This window comes from Homo sapiens, chromosome 4 (assembly GCF_000001405.40).
Source record: "Homo sapiens chromosome 4, GRCh38.p14 Primary Assembly".
NCBI lineage: Eukaryota > Metazoa > Chordata > Mammalia > Primates > Hominidae > Homo > Homo sapiens.
In genome coordinates, this window is record NC_000004.12 from 2,975,746 (window position 1) to 2,996,985 (window position 21,240).

General features: G+C 44.9%; 1 protein-coding gene across 28 annotated transcripts in view; it reads left to right on the top strand.

Annotated features, from left to right (window-relative positions):
* Window positions 1-21,240, top strand: part of GRK4 (G protein-coupled receptor kinase 4) — a 77,190-nt gene that overhangs the window by 12,175 nt on the left and 43,775 nt on the right. For 19 of the 28 annotated variants that reach the window (XR_924941.3, XR_001741210.2, XM_011513447.3 and 16 more), the window contains exons 2-4: window positions 8,768-8,863; window positions 12,982-13,094; window positions 16,470-16,547. Coding sequence is in view for 22 of the 28 variants with exons in the window: in XM_011513447.3 (XP_011511749.1) it covers window positions 8,768-8,863; window positions 12,982-13,094; window positions 16,470-16,547 (287 nt within the window). In the remaining 6 variants the exon portion in view is untranslated. Of the gene's footprint in view, window positions 1-8,767; window positions 8,864-12,981; window positions 13,095-16,469; window positions 16,548-21,240 lie in introns of those variants that run through there. The other 9 variants (XM_011513449.3, NM_001004056.2, NM_005307.3 and 6 more) reach the window with 5 other exon arrangements.

Genomic DNA, 21,240 nt, shown 5'->3' on the forward strand with positions numbered 1-21,240 from the left:
AGGCTGTCTTCATCCTGGATCCAAGTTCTTCAGCACTATATTTCTCTCAGAAACATAGTCAGCTTTTGATCTTGTTAAGCTAAATTTATAGGTGGCCATTGGTTTGTACTGAGCTCCTGCACTAGGCCCCAAAAATCAAACCAAAATTGAGTCAGTCCTGCTAAAGTTCCATGTCACCATGCTGAAAGTTGTTTGACCTTTGGAGAAATCAGGAGAGATACATAGTAGCCAAATCCCCAAACAGGCCGGTTTTAGCCAGCATGATAAGGAGGTCCCCTCTGCTTCAACCTTTGCAAGGGGCAAGGAGCAAGGGAAGTAACTCTGAAAGGACTAGTCTGCTTTTTGTTCTCTGTGTCTGCTTGCTTCAGCCCTTTTCTGCCTATAAAACCAAACTCCTCTGTTTAGCTCATTGAAACACTCATTGTTTTCTTTCTCTTTCTCTCTTTCTTTCTCTCTCTTTCCCTCCCTCCTCCTTCCCTTCTTCCTTGTTTTTTTTTCCCTCTCTTTCACAGGCTCTTGTCTGTTGCTCAGGCTGGAATGCAGTGGCGCAGTCATGGCTCACTGCAGCCTTGACCTCCTAGGCTCCAGTGATCCTCCCACCTCAGCCTCCTGAGTAGCTGGGACTACAGGTGCACACCACCATGCCTGAGTAATTTTTTTTTTAGAGATGGGGTCTCAGTATGTTGCCCAGGCTGCATTCTGTTTTTTAGAAGGAGGTGTTGCCCAATTCTAGCATTGCAAATAAAAGCCAACTAGATTCCAATTTGAAATTTGATGTAATTTTGTCCTTTGATGATATGTTTGCTTCCAGCCAGTTCCATGTGCCAGTAGTTGCACCCACCGTTCTTTCCTAGACACATTCTCAAGCTTGAATTTTCTTTCTTTCTTTTTTTTTTTTTTTTTTTTTGGTTTGATACAGAGTTTTGCTCTTGTTGCCCAGGCTGGAGTGCAACGGCATGATCCCAGCTCACCACAACCTCCGCTTCCAGGTTCAGGTGATTCTCCCGCCTCAGCCTCCCAAGTAGCTGGGATTGCAGGCACATGCCACCACGTCCGGCTAATTTTGTATTTTTAGTAGATACAGGGTTCCTCCATGTTGGTCAGGCTGGTCTCAAACTGCCGACCTCAGGTGATCTGTCCACCCCGGTCTCCCAAAGTGCTGGGATGACAGGCGCGAGCCACCGCACCCGGCCGAATTTTCTTTCTTTCAAGTCTCTACTCCCCAGATTAGTTGGGGGCTGTCTTGAGGCAGCAGTATGGGTGGGAAAACCACACCCCTGATCTGCTTGCTGCACAGAGCTGAGTTTTTATCTGCTTTTGTCTTTCAAAGCCTTTTCCAGTCTTATTTTCCACTGTTTGGGGGTCCAGGAACAGGCGGCCTTTCATACTCTCTAAAGGCCCAAATTTCTGGTCTGTTTGCACTTTTTTTTTATTGCTGCTTACAAAGCCAGCAATTCTTGCTTGAGCTCCCTTCCCCAGCAAAATACCTTCCTCGGTATGATGAGTAACAGCGCATACTACTGCTGTTTGACCTGTTTGCTAGAGCGTGGGGCTCTCCAAGCACTTGGTCTGTGTGTGCTGCCTCTTGAGTTATCATCACAGACAACACTGAACTAAATGTGTTGCTGCTACTGAATAACGCAGAGCTCCGGCTGCTACGCCTACTGCTAGACCATCTGTTTACCCAGGGTTTTTTATTAGGTTAATATTTCCCTCTAGATACTGACATCTGTATCAGTTAAACTGATACTTGCTGCTGTAACAGGTAAACCTTAAAATCTCTGTTGTTTGTGGAGCAATAAGAATAGAATTTATTTTTCATTTCCATAAAAGCCACGTTGAGGGCGGTCAGGGAGGGAGTGGGTGAGTAGACTGTGCTTTGTGCAGTCATTGAGGATTCCAGGCTGGCAGAAGTTCTGAGTCATCAGCACATGGCTCCCAAGATCCTCCTGTGGATCTCGGTCCATCTACGAAACAAAGAAGCGAGAGAGCACGGAGAACCGTGTGGGAGATTCTTCCAGGCCAGGCGTGGAAGTGGCATAAACACTTCTGTCCACATTCTGTTGTCCAGATCACAGTCAGATGGCCCCCCTCCCCACAGGGGACTGGGAAATGTCCCTCATTGGGCTGCCACTTCCCAGCAGCAGCTCTGTTGTGACTATTAGGAGTTCACTATATATTCTGATTACTCATCCCTTATCAGGTATATAATGTGCAAATGTTTTCCCCCATTCCATGGGCTTATGAAGTTCATTTTGCCTATTTTTTCTTTTGTAACATGAGCCTTTGGTGCCCTGACTATATCTCTTTTGACAATAAAATATTTTCCTTCTTTTTTACAGCTAAAATTGAGAATAAACTAGGTTTTATAGAAATTCCTAAAAGTCAGTTGCTGTATTAATCTATCCTAAAGATCCATATTGAGTGGGAAGAAAAAGGGAAAACAACTTTCATCTTTAAAATTACTTTATGTAGAAGGTTCTTGGTTATCTCATAGACTGTGGCTTCACACATTAAGCTAATTGATAATATGCTAAGTTTTTAAGAATCTTTTAAAAACTTGGTCTGATAGGATTCTGTAATTGAGCTAATCGATTCTATTGTCAATCTAAAAAAAGATATCAGAGAAAAATATCTCTGAATTTAATGAATGAATTAGGGAGTAAGCAAAGAGGATTATAATTTGGGATGCACAGCCATGGCGAGCCACAGGTGCACCCGAAAAGGGGAAAGGAAGAGGAAGCTTTTATTTGGCAGACAGGGAGAGGTTCACATAAGCTGCTTGGAAACAGAGTTCACTGGTTCCAGAGGCTCAAAATCGTAGTTGGCATCAGTTCTGTGGTGGAGATGCCACTAGGGGGCAGGTGTTCTTTCAAGAGCATCTTATCTCAATTGCTGCCGTCCTAAAAAAAGTCCAGGCCAGGCAAGGTGGCTCATGCTTGTAATCCCAGTTGTTTGAGAGGCTGAGGCAGGAGGGTCGATTGGGCCCAGGGGTCTGAGACTAGCTTGGGCAACATGGCAAGATCTCTTCTCTACAAAAGCTTTTTAAAAAAATAGCCATGTGTGGCCAGGCACAGTGGCTCATGCCTGTAATCCCAGCACTTTGGGAGGCCGAGGTGGGCGGATCTCCTGAGTTCAGGAGTTCGAGACCAGCCTGGCCCACATGCTGAAACCCCGTCTCTTACTGAAAATACACAAATTAGGCTGGGCACGGTGACTCACGCCTGTGATCCCAGCACTTTGGGAGGCCAAGGCAGGCGGATCATGAGGTCAGGAGATCGAGACCATCCTGGTTAACGTGGTGAAACACCGTCTGTAAATACAAAAAAATTAGCCAGGCATGGTGATGGGCGCCTATAGTCCCACCTACTTGGGAGGCTGAGGCAGGAGAATGGTGTGAACCCAGGAGGTGGAGCTTGCAGTGAGCCGAGATCGCGCCATTGCACTCCAGCCTGGGCAACAGAACGAGACTCCGTCTCAAAAAAAAAAACAAAAAAAAACCCCACAAATTACCTGGGTGTGGTGGCAGGCGCCTGCAATCCCAGCTATTCTGGAGGCTAAAGTGGGAGAATCACCTGAACCCAGGAGGTGGAGGTTGCAATCATCTGAGATGGTGCCACTGCACTCCAACCTGAGTGACAGAGGGAGACTCTGTCTCAAAAAAAAAAAAAAAAAAAAAAAGAGTGGCCAGGCACGGTGGCTCACGCCTGTAATCCCAGCACTTTGGGGAGGCCGAGGCGGGCGGATCACCTGAGGTCAGGAGTTCGAGACCAGCCTGACCAACATGGAGAAACCCTGTCTCTACTAAAGATACAAAATTAGCCGGGCGTGGTGGCACATGCCTGTAATCCCAGCTACTCAGGAGGCTGAGCCAGGAGAATTGCTTGAACCCAGTAGGCGGAGGTTGTGGTGAGCCAAGATCACACCATTGCACTCCAGCCTGGGCAACAAGAGTGAAACTCCGTCCCCCTACCCCCCCAAAAAAAATCCATGTGTGGTGGTGCATGCTTGTGGTCCCAGCTGCTGAGGAGGCTGAGGTAGCTGGATCTCTTGAGTCCAGGAAGTCAAGGCTGCAGTGAGACTTGCATTCTGCATTCTAGCCTGGGTGACAGAGCAAGACCCTATCTCAAAAAAGAAAAAAAATGGTCCAGTGTACCTGGTCTCAGAAATACCTGCATATGTGCCAAATGTAGGTTGTGAAAAGCATGAAATGCATGAAGGATGTGAAAGAATTTCTTGTGGGGTTATTTTAGACACTCCTCCTAATGGTTCTTATCTCAGACATGTAAGCAAGAACCCTTCTTTGTGCCTTCCCAGCTCCAAGTTTCTTTGGGTCTGACAAGAGTGCTTTCATCCTGTTAGGACCAGCTGCCTGACCCTCCACAGGGTACCCAGAGCCTGGACAGTGCCTGGCACACTGGACATGGACAGCAGATGTCTTCTCAATAAATAATTTGTTAGCCAGGATTCACAGTATGGAAGGATGACTGGGGCTGCCATGGCCACCCAGCCTCCCTGGAGCCTTCACTGCCTGGAGCTGGCTGGGAGTGGCAGCAGCCAGGATGAAGAGGAAAGCCTAGCACCTTGACTTGTTTCCCTCATCATCCAAGATGGGAACCCGGGAACCAGTCTTCAGTGGGAATCTTCTGTCGATGTAGGAAACATACCCTAAAGGGGAAGGGAAGGAACACTGAACCCCACTCATGGGCCTGGTACCTTTCTATACAAGTTATCCTATTTAATCTCCACAACAAGCCTACTAGATGCTGAGATCTCAATGTGCAAATACCCCAGAACAGCACCTAGATGAGGCACAGGGACTCACTGGAAGCCTTGTCTTCCTTGGGCCCATCTGTGAGGAGCAGAACAGCTCACCTCTTGCCTGACAGGCTAGTCCTGGGTAATGCATCCAGCCTACCTCTTGTTGCCACCCTACCCCACCGTCAGTGCCACATACCCGTGAACACAAACCCACTGGGGCTGAGCGGCTGTGCCACTGTCACAGGATCCTTAGGGTGTCACTTCACCAGCTGGAGACTTCTGTGGCCAGTGGCGGCTTTACCTGAGTTTTGCTTGGGCCCACTGGGCTCCTTCCACCCACTTGGCCTGGCAGGCTGTGCTTGTCTTTCACTACTGGTCCAGATCCCATGCCTGCCAAGGGCAAGCCAGGTGCAGAGCAGCAAGGGTTGCATGAGCAAATGAGTGTGGGGTCTGGCCATTGGGCACAGCCAGGCATGCCAGCTGTGGCAGGGCAGGCAGCTCCAGGCACAGGCGCTGGTTACCTGCTGTGGCTGTGGCTAGACCAAGCGTACTGCAAGCAGCTGCCACTGTGGGTGCCAGGGAATGCGGTGGCGCCCAGAAGCTTGGAGACTTCAGGAACCACAGAGCTTCAAAGAGGGTGTCACAGCCTTGGCTGGGGGAGGTCCTAAGTCTCGGCTCCCCAAGGGGCCACAGCTCTTATCTCCTCTCTTCTCTCCTTCTCATCACCCACAACGTGGTGAGTTGGGGGGTGTGCTTCAGCCTGTTTGTATTACAGCTCTTTCAGTCCCACCATTCAGTGGGTCCCAAGTTCTTGTCCCATGTCCAGGAAGAATGAGGTACACAGACAACTGGAGGGTAAGCAAGAAGAGGTGCTTTATTGAGTGACAGTACAGCTCTCAGGAGACCCAAAATGGGTAGCTCCTTTCTGCAGGCAGATCATCCCATCGTCTGTGCAGCCCTCAGAGGAGAGGAGACCTGGAGTGGGTAGCTCCTATCTGCAGGCAGGTTGTCCTGATGAGTATACAGCCCTCAGTGGAAAGGAGACCCACAGTGGGTAGCACCTCTCTGCAGGCAGGTTGTCCTGTTTTCTGCCCAAGTCTGGCTGAGTCTGGGGTTTTTATAAGCTTCAGAGGGGAGGAAGTACATGCTGATTGGTCCGTGGGCGGGCCCAGAAAAACCACCATAAGTTCTCACTCCAGTCTGCAGAACTGGCAGCCCGGCTGTCAGGCTTCAGTCTATCCCTGGCTTGAAGGTGAGGTTTCACTGGGGACCCTGCCCCTTTCTACCCAGGAGCCTGTCTGCCTCCTGCCCTTGTTCATGGTGCCCTGGCTGTTTGTGTGCCCTGGCCTGCACTGAGCTGAACTCAGCCACGCCTTGGCCTCCCTGCCATGCTCATTGGTGTCCAAAGTCTGGAGGGGGCTGAGGTGGCAGGTGGCTGGTGTGTCAGCACCGCCCCTATCGTGCACACACCTGGCTGGGTTGTGACAGTGCCTGGGCTCAGCCACAACTTTGATCCAAAATCGGAGCAGGTGCCAGGAGCAGTGAGAGGCCAGTCAGTGGGAACAGGCACTTCTGAGCCTGCAGGGGCAGGGGGGCTTCCTGGGCTCCTGAGAGCACAGGGATGCCCAGGTCAGCAGCTGTGGCTGGGTGGCTGCAGCTGCTCCCAGTAGTGTGGGGCTCCTGCCCCACCAACCTGGAAGGGGGTAGGGCTCCCACCTGTTCCTGGCTTCCGCCGGCACTGGCCACTGCTGCCAGCACCACCTCATCCAGGCCCTGCCTGCCTCGCTGCTTGGATCCTGGGAAGGTGGAAGCACTGGTTCTAAGCCTACAGGCAGTGTCAGGCTTAGGAAAGGAAGGACATAGCAGCCAGGCTGCCATGTTTCTTGCTAGTTACTTGAGTAGTGTAAAGTTGGGAGAAGCCAGGGAACAAGAGAAAGCAGAGATAGTGAAATATGAATAAGACCAAGAGGGACTTGTTCTCTGCTCAATGATTCAGCAGCTTGGGCACAGAAGCACCACTGAAGATGTAAGCCATGTCTCAGGGCACTTGTAGATCATGCTTGTTTTCCACTTGTGGAATCTAGAGGGCAAAATACTGCATCAGGCAAGTGACAGCTCAGCTCTGTACTCCTTTAAGAGGTCAGATAAAAATGGCATATCCCAAAGAACAGTTCTTATTTCAACTGAAGGGAGAACCAGCAATAACCCTGAAAAAAATAACCCATAACCAAAGATGATAGCCTTTTTTCAGTGCCTACTGCTTCTCTGGAATGAGTTTCTGTGTTCTCTGTGAAGGGACAGGAGGAACAGGTCACCCTTTCCCCACCCTTCAGTGACATAGGACATGGCTGTCACTGACACAGCACTTGACATATTCTCTGGCATTGGCAGGTGGTTGTTACATGTTTATTAAATAAACAAATCTTAACAGAAAGAAAAAATGTGGACTGGATTTGAGGGGGAAGATTATGAGTCTAGGGTGAACATGTTGAATGCCAGGTGCTCTGGACATCTTGTGGTGTGGGACGTGAGTCCAGAGCTCATGATCTCAGTTGAAATATTGAGTAGGGGGAGTAGAAGAGCAAAACTAAGGCTGAGGAAGAAGCTCTTACATCTTTGATGGTTTTCTTTTTTGCAGATATCAAGTCTGTATCTCTAGCCGAGCCTCTTCTGAGCTCATCCCAGTCTACCCATCTTCCAAATGTCTGTCTCTTACAATTTTCCACACTCACCGTATTTAAGACAGAGCTCATCGTGTTCCAAGGAAATGTGGCTTTTGCCCTGGTTTCCTAATTCTTCCAAATGGTCCTGGAGTCTTAGTCACCCAGCCTAAGCCATTATGTTCTCCTGGATAAAATTCAGTAAAATTTTAGCTGCCCAGAAGGCTTGAGATTGAAGATGCTCATTTCTCTGAGTTGAATTAAAGAAAAAATGGTGCTTGTTTAAAAGATCTTTCTGAAGTATTATAGTGTAGCCTTTTCCATCATTCTGGTTTCACCATGGGATGCTCTTCTCCCAGCACTTGCCAAGACTCTGCCACTCACATCCTTCAGGCCTCTGCCTAAATGTGACCCCTGTAGGGAGGTCTTCTCTGATCCTACCTTAGTCAAAACAGCACCTTCCACCTTTACCCTGCTTGATTTTGTTTCATATTTATCACTATATGATTAGCATTTTTTTCTTATCTCTTATCATTATCTGATTTGTGCACCTGTCTCCCTGTATTAGTCCATTTTCACACTGCTGTGAAGATACTACCTGAGACTGGGTAATTTATAAATAAAAGAGGTTTAATTGACTCACAGTTCTGCATGGCTAGAGGGGCCTCAGGAAACTTACAATCATGGTGAAAAGCGAAGGGGAAGCAAGGCACGTCTTACATGGTGGCAGGAGAGAGAGAGGGGGAGAGAGAGCACAAGGGAAACTGCCACTTTTAAAACCATCAGATCTCATGAGAACTCCCTCATTATCGCAGGACAGCATGGGGAATCCGTCCCCACGATCCAATCACGGGACTCCCACCTGGTCCCTCCCTCGACATGTGGGTATTATAATTTGAGATGAGATTTGGGTGGGGACACAGAGCCAAACCATATCACTCCCTCACTTAGAATGCGAGGGAGGGACTTGGTCTTTTTTACCATCATATGCCTAGTGCTTTGAAGGTTTTTGGTACATAGTAGATGCTCAATAAATATTTCTTTGATAAATACTTATAAGCAGCCCTGAACAATATGTCATGTTAGATCTTGTTTACAGATTTGGAAACTGAGGCTCACCATGGCTTCTAAATGGCAGAGCTAGTGACAGATTGCTTCCCTTGGGAATTTTATACTTCATCAAGCAGCTTTCCAGATAAGACAAATTATTATAAGCATGTATTTTTATTCATGATAGGTACCCAAACCACTCAAACAGAAATGTTAAGATATATTGGTGGAAGTAGTTGTTATAATTGGATATTTCTGACTGTTAAAGGAAATTGCCTTTTTTCTCCCAAATTCAGGAGGATATGGCAAAAAAAGTGGTCGTAGTAAAAAATGGAAGGAGATACTGACACTGCCTCCTGTCAGCCAGTGCAGTGAGCTTAGACATTCCATTGGTGAGTAAATAGTGCCTACTAATGCTTGGATGGTACATCTGGCATGATACCATTCATTAGATGTTATTCTTTCTTGAGTTCCATGTTTGTTTCAAACATTTTATGATAAATTCTCCTTATATCTTCATGATTCCTCTCAGGAAAAAAAATCCTTTAGATTTTCTGATCTGCAGTTATAAAGTTGGCTGTTGACTTTTTCATTAAAAATATATATTTTTTATAGAGGTGGGGTCTCACCATGTTGCCCAGGCTGGTCTTAAACTCCTGAGCTCAAGCAGTCTGCCCACCTTGGCCTCCCAAAGTGCTGGGATTACAGGTGTGAGCCACTATGCCCGCTCCCCATTAGAAACATTTTTTACAAGTAATATATATACTCATTGTTCTATACATTACTGAAGAAAAAGTAAAAATTCCTCTCCCCATGACCGAGCCAATTATTGTCTGTAGAAGAAACACTGTTAAGTATTGTTTAGTAGCCTTCCAGACAGTTTTCTATGCACGTTTTAAAAAATTATTGAGCCAGGCCGGGCGCAGTGGCTCACGCCTGTAATCCCGGCACTTTGGGAGGCCGAGGTGGGCGGATCACGAGGTCAGGAGATCGAGACCACGGTGAAACCCCGTCTCTACTAAAAATACAAAAAAATTAGCTGGGTGCGGTGACGGGTGTGTGTAATCCCAGCTGCTTGGGAGGCTGAGGCAGGAGAATGACGTGAAACCGGGAGGCGGAGCTTGCAGTGAGCCGAAATCACACCACTGCACTCCAGCCTGGGGAACAGAGCAAGACTCTGTCTCAAAAAAAAAAAAAAAAATTATTGAGCCAGGCATGGTGGCACATACCTGTAGGTGCACCTACTTAGGAGGCTGAGGCAGGAGGATCCCTTGAGCCCAAGAGGTTGAGTCTAGCCTGGGCAACATAGTGAGACCTGTCTTGAGAAAAAAAATTAATGAGGGAAAGAAAGAAAAAAGAAAAGAAAAATTTCTAATGATCTTCAGGAAAGGATTAGTCAGATAAAAATATGGTATATCAGTGTAACAGAATACTCTGCAACTGTAAAGAATGAGAGTTAGCTACAGGTCCTAACATGAGCCTAAGGAGTCAGATACAGAAGGCCGGGTGTGGTGGCTCACGCCCGTAATCCCAGCACTTTGGGAGACTGAGGTGGGCGGATCACGAGATCAGGAGATCGAGACCATCCTGGCTAACACGGTGAAACTCCGTCTCTACTAAAAATACAAAAAAATTAGCTGGGCGAGGTGGCGGGCGCCTGTAGTCCCAGCTACTTGGGAAGCTGAGGCAGGAGAATGGTGTGAACCTGGGGAGCTTGGAGATCCCACCACTGCACTCCAGCCTGGGTGACAGAACAAGACTCCGTCTCAAAAAAAAAAAAAAAAAAAAGAAGTCAGATATAGAATCATGTCTATAGAGCAATCATAACTGTATTTTTTAACAATAGAATTTTCAGTTCAAAGGGTACATGCATTTAAAATTTTGATATTGCTAAATCACTGCCAAAAAGATTGTATCAATTTACCTTTCTGTCAACAGTATGTAACAAACTTTCTTTGTGATGCCTTTGCTAATACTGGTTGTTGTCAGTATTTTTAATATTTGCTAAACTGCAATTTGAAAAATGGTTTCTTTTCTCGATTATGGATGGGGTAGAACATTTCCTTTTTTTTTTTCAATGTTTCCTTTTTCTTTTCTAATTCATTTATAAAAGTTCTTTATATATAAAAGGTGTTATCTTTTTTTTTTTTTTTTTTTTTGAGACAGAGTCTCGCTGTGTCGCCAGGCTGGAGTGCAATGGCATGATCTCGGCTCACTGCAAGCTCCGCCTCCCAGATTCAAGTGATTCCCTGCCTCAGCCTCCCAAGTAGCTGGGACTACAGGTGCCCACCACCACGCCCGGCTAATTTTTGTATTTTTAGTAGAGACTGGGTTTCACCAGGTTGGCCAGGATGGTCTCAATTTCTTGCCCTTGTGATCCGCCCACCTCAGCCTCCCAAAGTGCTGGGATTACAGACCTGAGCCACCGCGCCTGGCCCTCAGTGTCTTTTTTTCATACAGAAGTTTTAGTATTTTTATAGAGACAAATATATCAGTCTTTTCCTGGTTAGCTTCTGAGCTTTGTGTTATCTGTAGGAAGGACACATTTATTCCAAGATTATTTTTACAAACCAATCCATCTTTCCTTTAGTACTATTGTAGTTCCTTTTAAAGAAAGATGATGAAGTATTATATTTATAAAAATTAGTTTCAGGTGGTATAAAGGAGCTAGTATTTCCCTCATTGTTGTAACCCCCCCATTGTTTTAACTCCACTGAGTATTTTAAATAACTGCTTCTTGAAGATATAATTCATATGCCATACAACTTATCCATTTAAAGTATATAATTCAATAGTTTTTAATATATTGAGTTGTGAAACCATCACCACAGTCAATTTGACAGCATTTTCAGCACCCCAAAAAGAAACGCCACACCCATTGATAGCCACTCCTGACTCCTTCCTGCCCGCTACCTCCAGAGCTAGACAACTACAAATCCACTTTCTGTCTATGTCTTTGCCTGTTCCAGACATTTCATATAAATGGGAATCATAAACTATGTGGTCTTTTGTGACAGGCTTTTTTTACGTAGCATAATGTTGTCAAAGTACTTCATCCTTTTTTGTTGGTGAATAATATTCCATTATATGGATATATCACATTTTATTTAGCCATTCATCAGTTAATAGACATTTGAGTTGTTTTCTACTTTTGCCTGTTATGAATAATGCTGCTATGAATATTCATGTACTAGGCTTTTAAAAAATGATGATAAAATATACATAACAAAAATTACTGTTTGAAATGTACAGTTCGGTGGCATTGAGTTGGATATTGCGTGGACATACCACATTTTGCTTATCTGTTCATCTGTTGATGGACATTGGGTTGTTCCAAGTTTTTGGCTGTGTGAATAGTGTTGCTGGGAACATTGGTGTGCAAATACCTGTTTGAGTCCGTGCTTTCACTTGTTTTGTGTATGTACTCAGAAGCAGAATTGTTGGCCAGGCGCAGTGGCTCACGGCTGTAATCCCAGCACTTTGGGAGGCTGAGGTGGGTGGATCACTTGAAGTCAGCAGTTCGAGACTAGCCTGGCCAACATGGTGAAACCTGTTTCTACTAAAATTACAAAAATTGGGCCAGGCGCCATGACTCATGCCGGTAATCTCAGCACTTTGGCAAGCCAAGGCAGGTGGATCATCTGAGGTCAGGAGTTTGAAACCAGCCTGGCCAACATAGTAAAACCACATCTCTACTAAAAATACAAAAATTACTTGGGTGTGGAGGCATGTGCCTATAATCCAAGGTACTCAGGAGGCTGAGGCATGAGAATTGCTTGAACCCGGGAGGTAGAGGTTGCAGTGAGCTGAGATTATGCCACTGCACTCCAGCCTGGATGACAGAGTGAGGCTCTGTCTCAAAAAAAAAAAAAAAAAAAAAAAAGAAGTAGAATCATATGGTAATTCTGTGTTTAACTTTTTGAGGAACGCCAGACTCTTCCAAACCACTGCCCTGTGTTACATTCCCAGTAGCAATGTGTTCAGTTGCTTCACATCTTTCCCAACGCTTTTGATTTTCCTCTTTATTTTTCATTGAATCTAATCCTAGTGGGTATGAAGTATCTTACTGTGTTTTGATTTGCATTTCTCTAATGAATAATGATGTTGAGCATATTTTCATGTGCTTATGGGTCATTTGTAAACTTTTAGAGAAATGTCTGTTCCAATCTTTTATCCGTTTTAAAAATTGGATTGTCTTTTTGTTGTTGAGGTATAAGATTTCTTTCTATGTTCTAGATATTAGATGCTTAACAGATAAGCAGGAGAATCGCCTGAACCCGGGAGGCAGAGGCTGCAGTGAGCGGAGATTGTACCGCTGCCCTCCAGCCTGGGCGACAGAGGAGGGAGACTGTCTGAAACAAACAACAACAACAACAACAAGATGAAAATAATACGGCAAATACTGTTCTTGACTTTTACTGTATCGAGTGAGAACTGTAAGGCTTAGAACAGCATGTGGTGGACTGTAATGATTCTATTTGTTTGCTTCTTATCCCTTTGCTTCACCCAGAAAAGGATTATAGCAGTCTTTGTGACAAGCAACCGATAGGAAGACGTCTCTTCAGGCAGTTCTGTGATACCAAACCCACTCTAAAGAGGCACATTGAATTCTTGGATGCAGTGGTGAGCAGTTTATCTCCATATTGAGCAACCACCCAATCTTATGCTTTTGAAAATGTAAAAACTTGGCCAGGCGCAGTAGCTCATGCTGTAATCCCAGCATTTTGGAAGGCTGAGGCGGGCGGATCATGAGGTCAGGAGATCGAGACCATCCTGACCAACACAGTGAAACCCGTCTCTACTAAAATACAAAAAGTTAGCCGGGCGTGGTGGCGCGTGCCTGTAGTCCCAGCTACTTGGGAGGCTGAGGCAGGGGAATCACTTGAACCAGGAGGCGGAGGTTGCAGTGAGCCGAGATCGCACCACTGCCTTCCAGCCTGGGCGACAGAGCAAGACTCCGTCTCAAAAAAAAAGAAAATGTAAAAACTAGACCTGGGCAATGATGTAGGAGTGGAGGGACTGGTTGTCTTGGTGTCATATTATCTTATTAGGACAGAAATCCCTTTAGTCTGAAGTGGTATTTTGTGTAGAATTACGTCTCAAGTGTTGGAGAATCACATGTAGTCATTGAATGACTTTGAAACTTGAGGCTTGAATTGTATGAAGATGACAAACTAATTAAGATGATAATGCTTTTTTTATTTTTTATTTTTTTGAAATGGAGTCTCTCTCTGTCTCCCAGGCTGGACTGCAGTGGCATGATCTTGGCTTACTGCAACCTCCGCCTCCTGGGTTCAAGCAATTCTTCTGCCTCAGCCTTGTGATCCACCTGCCTTGGCCCCCCAAAGTGCTGGGATTACAGGCATAAGCCACTGTGCCCGGCTCTAAGATGATAGTGCTTGTTCGGCTACCAGAAAAGTGTCCTTTCTGCACTCAACTGGCCAATGCTCTTAACTTAAAAACGCTTTAACCCAGAAGCATATGGAAGGGATAAAGTTTGTGTAAGAAGAATGATCACTTTGGATGGAATTTACTATGCTCAAGAAAGTTTCCAACATTCTCATGTATCCTGTTTGAGATTTACTGTGATTTCCTTATAGGTAAAGAAACTTTATGTTTCTCAGTCTTTGTGGGTACCATTGGGAAGCCTAGACTTTCAAAGCTATGAAATTCAGAAGCAAGTGACCAATAGAAAATTGGTGGAATTTAGCAGAAAATCTCTCTCACTTTTGTACCAGGGTTATGATCCTTCCTCTCTCTGCTTTGGCCTGTCTTAATTGTATCGGCAAATATGTATTGAGTGCTTATTATATGTGGACATATATGTCTTATATCATTGAGTTTGGATTTGATTTTCCTCTAACACAGCTTTTTAAAACTTTAAAATGTATATATATTTATTTATGATATATTCTTTTCAGAAAAACATTTGCGGCTGTTTTGTTGTTTGCTTCCTTCCCTCAGATCTCTCCCAGTCCTTTCCTTTCTGGCACTGTTGCTAGAATAAGGTGATTCTTCTTCTTCTTCTTCTTTTTTTTTTTTTTTTTTTTTTTTTTTGAGACAGAGTTTTGCTCTTGTCCTCCAGGCTGGAGTGCTATGGCGTGATCCCAGCTCACTGCAACCTCCGCCTCCCAGGTTCAAGTGATTCTCCTGCCTCAGCCTCCTGAGTAGCTGGGACTACAGGCATGTGCCACCACACCCAACTAATTTTTGTATTTTTAGTAGAGACGGGGTTTCCCCATGTTGGCTAGGCTGGTCTCAGACTCCTGACCTCAGGTGATCTGCCCGTCTCGGCCTCCCAAAGTGCTAGGATTACAGGCATCAGCCACTGCGCCTGGCCAGTTCTTCTTTTTGAAGACAGAGTTCCAGTATGCTGGGGCATGCTTACTCAGTTTGGGGGATGGAACCCTGGGTGTAAGTTCTCATGTAGTGGGTAATGTTTGCCAAGCTGCTGTATTTTAAGAATTTAGGGACCTACTGTTCTTCCTTACGTTAAAATAGCTAAACTGCATTGTTGAAACTCTGTTTTAGGTTTCAGTCTTCTGATATTGTCATGATACCTGTCGTTATGAGGTGACAGCTATGTGACTGCAGTTACAGGTTATGTTTTTGTTTTTTTGATGGCAGTTGTGTAGGTTCAGAAATAATGTCTGATTGTGCCATTTTGTCACACTTACTGCTTTGACTATCCTCGTGATAGGTGATGACAGGCTCTGTGAGCTTCTCAAGTGAAGGGACTGTGTCTTATTCATTTCCCCCTCATGGCACATGGCATGGTTGTTTGCCCTATTTCTTGCTCATTAAATGAATTAGTGGCATCTGTATCAGTCAGGATTCAACCAGAGAACTAGAACCCATAGGAGGAGATATTAAGAGATTTATTGCAAGGAATTGGCTTACATAATTGTGGGGTCTGGTTAGGAAAGTCTGAAATCTGTAGGGCGGACCGTCAGAAGGGGCATGGTAGGACTCTCCAGTAATGGGCTGAAGCTGCCGTCCTCAGGCAGAATTTCTTCCTCCAGGAAGACTCATCTCTGTTCTTAACACCTTCCAACTGATTAGGTCAGAGCCACCTAGATTATCTAGCATAATCTCCTTCACTTGAAGTCAACTGATTATAAACTTTAATCGTATGTACAAGTACCTTCCCAGCAGCACCTGGATTTATGTTTGAGTGACTAACTGGGGCTCATAGCCTGCCCAGTTGGCATATCGAAGGACCATTGCAGGATCAGACTTGCTTTCTCTTCCATTAATTGCATGCCACACAGTATCCAGAACTCCCAGCACTGAAGTTTGTTTGTTTGTTTTTGAGGCTGAGTCTTGCTCTGTTGCCCAGGCTGGAGTGTAGTAGCATGATCTCGGCTCACTGCAACCTCCGCCTCCTGGGTCCAGGCAATTCTTCCTGCCTCAGCCTCTTGAGTAGCTAGGATTACAGGTATGCGCCACCACACCCAGCTAATTTTTGTAATTTTAGTACAGACGGGTTTTCACTATGTTGGCCAGGCTGGTCTCCAACTCCCAGCCTCAGATGATCTGCCTGCCTCGGCCTCCCAAAGTGCTGTGGTTACAGGCATGAGCCACTGCTCCCGGCCCTGAGATATCTTTAATGGATACAATGTAATATGGCATACAGAGTATTATGGGAAGTATTGCTCTAAAACTTCATTAACCTCCTTTAAAAAACTGACTTCTTCCGCCTCATACACCTTACTTTCCCAAAGAAGAGCTGTAGACTCTTGATCAGTAGAGTTGGTCTGTGACTCTGAGGATATCAAACCAAATAATTTGAAACATAATGAAACATTGTTGGTGAAGAAGCTTAACTTTTTTTTTTTTTTTTAAGAGATGGGATCTCGCTATGTTGCTCAGGCTGGCCTCGAACTCTTGAGCTCAAGTGATCCTCCCAACCTCAGCGTCCCAAGTGGCTGGAACTACAGGTATGCACCACCACACCCAGCTTAACTGTTCTTTCTTTTCTTCCATCTCTCCAATCAGGCAGAATATGAAGTTGCCGATGATGAGGACCGAAGTGATTGTGGACTGTCAATCTTAGATAGATTCTTCAATGATAAGGTGTGTTTTCTTCTTTAGAATAAAAATTTGTAGATAAATAATTAGAGTGCATAGCCATTTTTACTTTGTTAGATAAGACGTAACATATGTTAAAAGCTTTAATTTGGCTGGGTGTGATGCCTGACGCCTGTAATCCCAGCACTTCGGGAGGCTGAGGAAGGAGGATCTCTTTAGCCCAGGAGTTCGAGATCAGCATGGCCAACATAGTGAGACCATCTCTACAAAAAAATAAACAAAAAAACTAGCTGGACATGGTGGTGTGCATCTGTAGTCCCAGCTACTTGGGAGGTGAGGTGGGAGGATCGCTTGAGCCCAGGAGATTGAGGTGGCTGTGAGCCAAGGTCATGCCACTGCATTCTAGCCTGGGTGACAGAGCAAGACCCTGTCTTAAAAAAATAAAAAGTAAGGCCAGGCACAGTGTTTCATGCCTGTAATCTCAGCACTTTGGGAGGCCGAGGCAGGCAGATCGCTTGAGCTCAGGAGTTCAAAACCAACCTGGGCAATATGGCAAAACCGCATTGCTACAAAAAAGAAAAAAAAAATTAGCTAAGCATGGTGGCGTGCACCTGTGTTCTCAGCTACTTGGGAGGCTCAGGTGGGAGGACTGCTTGAGCCCAGGAGGTCAAGGCTGCAGTGAGCTGGGATCATACTGCTATGCTCTAGCCTGGACAAGAGAGTAAGACCCTGTCTCAAAACTACCTCCCAACATCAATTAATTAATCTTTAAAAAGCTTGAATTTATTATAAATGTTCCTCTTTTGCATTTTGTTTGATGTCATGAGGAAACTAACAATTAGATCTCTTAGAAAATTGATTCAGTGTATTTAAAGTTTCAGAATATAGAGTTGGAGAATTTTATTTGTCTCTCTTGGACTAAAAATAACATTTTTTCCTAAAAGCTTTAATGGGTCTTAGCTTTTATGCTTTTGACTTACTTGGTTCTTGTAGTTCAGTATGTCACTGAAATTAGAGCTGTAACCTGCTTCCTTTCATGTGACTTCTGTTAGAAGTCCTCAATTCTGGGCAGGGCCCTATATTGTAAGGATGGAAGGAGAAAAGGAACAACAGGGATAGCAAACATGTAATTAACACTGCTCTAGGCCAGGTGTGGTGGCTCACGCCTGTAACCCCAGCACTTTGGGAGGCTGAGGCGGGTAGATCACTTGAGGTCAAGAATTCGACACAGGCCTGGCCAATATGGTGAAACCCTGTCTCTACTAAAAATACAAAAATTAGCCAGGCGTGGTGGTGCATGCCTGTAATCCCAGCTAATAGGGAGGCTGAAGCATGAGAATCACTTGAACCTGGGAGGTAAAGGTGGCAGTGAGCTGAGATCGTGCCACAGCACTCTAGCCTGGTCAACAAGCGAGACTCTGTCTCAAAACAAAACAAACAAAAAAACACAAAAAAATCACTGCTCTAACATGTAATACATTATGTAATTATCACAACAAACCTATGAGGTAGATACTATTCTCAAGTCTATTTTCATATGATAAGACTGAAAATCAGTGACTAAGTGACTTACCCAAGGTTACACACCTAGTAAGTGTCAGAACCAGGAATCGAACATGTGGAGAATGGAATTAGTGAATAGTGTGGTGAGAATGAGTTCAAAATATTTGGATTTGAAACATAGCCAACTGGATATAGGGCCATCATCTTAGGGGAGCTTCGTTGTACAAAAAATAGAGTGCCAGAGGGGATGGCCAGCAGGACCATCTAGCAGCACAAAGATACATAGCAGTGGGTGTCAGAGGTGTGATTCAGACCCTAATGAGTTTTCTACCCCAGCCTCCAGCCTTACAGATTACTCTCTCAAACACAGCTGTTACAACATGAGCATATTTGTAGGTACCCCCAGGACACTAGTTAGAATGAGTAGAAGTTTCATTTATCTAGTTCTAATTTTTATTTTTATTTTTTTCCCTTTTTTGAGATAGCACCTTGCTCTGTTGTGCAGGTTGGAGTGCAGTGGCACGATCTTGGCTCACTGCAGCCTCTGCCTCCCGGGTTCAAGTGATTCACATGCCTCAGCCACCTGGGTAGCTTGGATTACAGGTGTGCACCACCACACTTGGCTACTTTTTATATTTTTAGTACAGACGGGGTTTTGCCATATTGGCCAGGCTAGTCTCGAACTCCTGGCCTCAAGTGATCTGCCTGCCTCGGCCTCCCAAATTGTGGGGATTACAGGCGTGAACCACTACACCCGGCTCCATTTATCTAGTTATTATTCTTTTTAAATTAGCTCCCTTTTCTTTCTTCACCTCTTCTGAAGAAATACCCATATAGCAAGGGAGGGCATCAAGAAGAAAGAAATAATTATAAAGAAAAACAAAAGAAAAAATTTAAAAATGAATCATGGTAGATATAGCAAATGTGGAAGAGGAGGGAAGGGGAGGTTATACATGTGTGGCTTGGTGCCTTAGTCTGTTTTGTGCTGCTGTAATAGAATGCCAGAGACTGGGTAATTTATGTATTTATTTATTTTAACTTCTATTTTAAGTTCGGGGGTACATGTGCAGGTTTGTTACGTAGGTAAACTTGCATCATGGGGTTTGTTGTACAGATTATTTCATCACCCAGGTATTAAGCTTAGCACCCTTTAGTTATTTTTCTTGATCTGCTCCTTCCCCACATCCCCCATCCTCCAATAGGCCCCATTGTGTGGTGTTTCCCTCTGTGTGTCCATGTGTCCTCATCATTTAGCTCCCACTCTTAAGTAAGAATATGTGGTATTTGGTTTTCTGTTCCTGTGTTAGTTTGCTAAGGATAATGGCCTCCAGCTCCATCCATGTTCTTGCAAAGAACATGATCGTTCTCTTTTTTACGGCTGCATAGTATTCCATAGTGTATATGTACCCCATTTTCTTTATCCGGTTTATCATTGATGGGCATTTAGGTTGATTCCATGTGTTTGCTATTGCAAATAGTGTTGCAATGAACATATGCGTGCATGGAGACTGGGTAATTTATAATAAAAAGAAATTTCTTGGCTCACAGTTTTAGAGGCTAGGATGCCCAGTTCAAGGTGTTGTTGACCTAAAATGAAGAAGCTGAGACACAAAATGTAATTTAAAGAGTTTACTTGGACCAGGTGCTGTGGCTCACGCCTGTAATCCCGGCACTTTGGGAGGCCGAGGCGGGCAGATCACCTGAGGTTAGGAGTTCGAGACCAGCCTGGCCAACATGGTGAAACCTCATCTCTACTAAAAAAAAAAAAAAAAAAAAAAAAATTAACTGGATGTGGTGGTGCATGCCTATAATCCCAGCTCCTTGGGAGGCTGAGGTAGGAGAATCACCTGAACCTGGGAGGCGGAGGTTGCAGTGAACCAAAATTGTGCCACTCCAACCTGGGTGATAAAGTGAGACTCCTTCTCAAAAAAAAAAAAGAGTTTACTTGAGCTAAAGTAAAGACAGCTGCGTGGGACACACTTCCAAGTTGCCTTGGGAAGTGCTCTACTGGCCTTGGTTACTGGCAGGGTTTTAAAGGCAAAGGGAACAAGGAGTGAGCTGATACAATGTTGTTTGACCCGAATTCTCACTGGTTTAAGAGAGAACAATGATCCACTGATCATTGGCTATATATTGTTGAACTACAGAGTGAGAATATAAGTTATGGTGTCCAGTATATGGCATTTATGGATACTTGGCATCAGTCTAGGGACCACTAGCAAGTGGCTTCAAGAAGTAATTATTTAGCTCAAGGGGGAGTGAGTCATGACTGTTCTGGGCCTGATAATTCGAAGGGGCTCACATTCCTCAGATAAAAACCTTTTTTTTTTTTCCCCCTTCTTAATGCCAGCATCTGGCAAGGGCCTTCTTGCTGCATCATCACTTGGTGGAAGTGGAAAGAGAGGGATTGCTTGCACACATGTCTGAGCATGTGGACACAAAAGGGGGCAAACCTACTCCAGGGATAACAAGATAAGGGCACTAGTCCCTTCATGAAGGTGGAACCTCTTAAATGCCTCTTAGGCCGGGCGCGGTGGCTCACGCCTGTAATCCCAGCACTTTGGGAGGCTGAGGCAGACGGATCACCTGTGGTCAGAAGTTCGAGACCATCCTGGCCAAGATGGTGAAACCCCGTCTCTACTAACAATACAAAAATTAGCCAGGCATGGTGGCAGGTGCCTATGATCCCAGCTACTCAGGAGGGTGAGGCAGGAGAATCGCTTGAATCCAGGAGACAAAGTTTGCAGTGAGCTGAGTTCGCGCCACTGCACTCCTGCCTGGGTGACAGAGCGAGACTCTGCCTCAGGAAAAAAAAAAATGCCTCTTAATGGTCCTACCTCCCAATACTGTCACAGTGGCAATTAAATGTCATCATGAGCTTTGTGGGGGATAGACAAATGTTTAGATAATAGCACTTGGTAATAGAGAGATGTTTATGGGCTGCCTGGAGATGATGTAGCTGGAAAGCTTTTTTTTTTTTTCTTTTCTTACCATCAACTGGGGAAACTGCCACATTCTTCCTCTTCCCACCTGATGGCCCTGCTCTTGTGCTTTACTGAAACAAAAAACAAACAAATAAAAAGCAATGATTCACGTCATTATTGTAGTTTTTCCTTTTCTTGTCTTTTATTTTAAAACAGCAAGAATAAACTTCTCTTTCTTTTACATGCTAAAAAGGGAACCCCTAGGCTAGGTGCGGTGGCTCATGCCTGTAATCCCAGCACTTTGGGAGGCC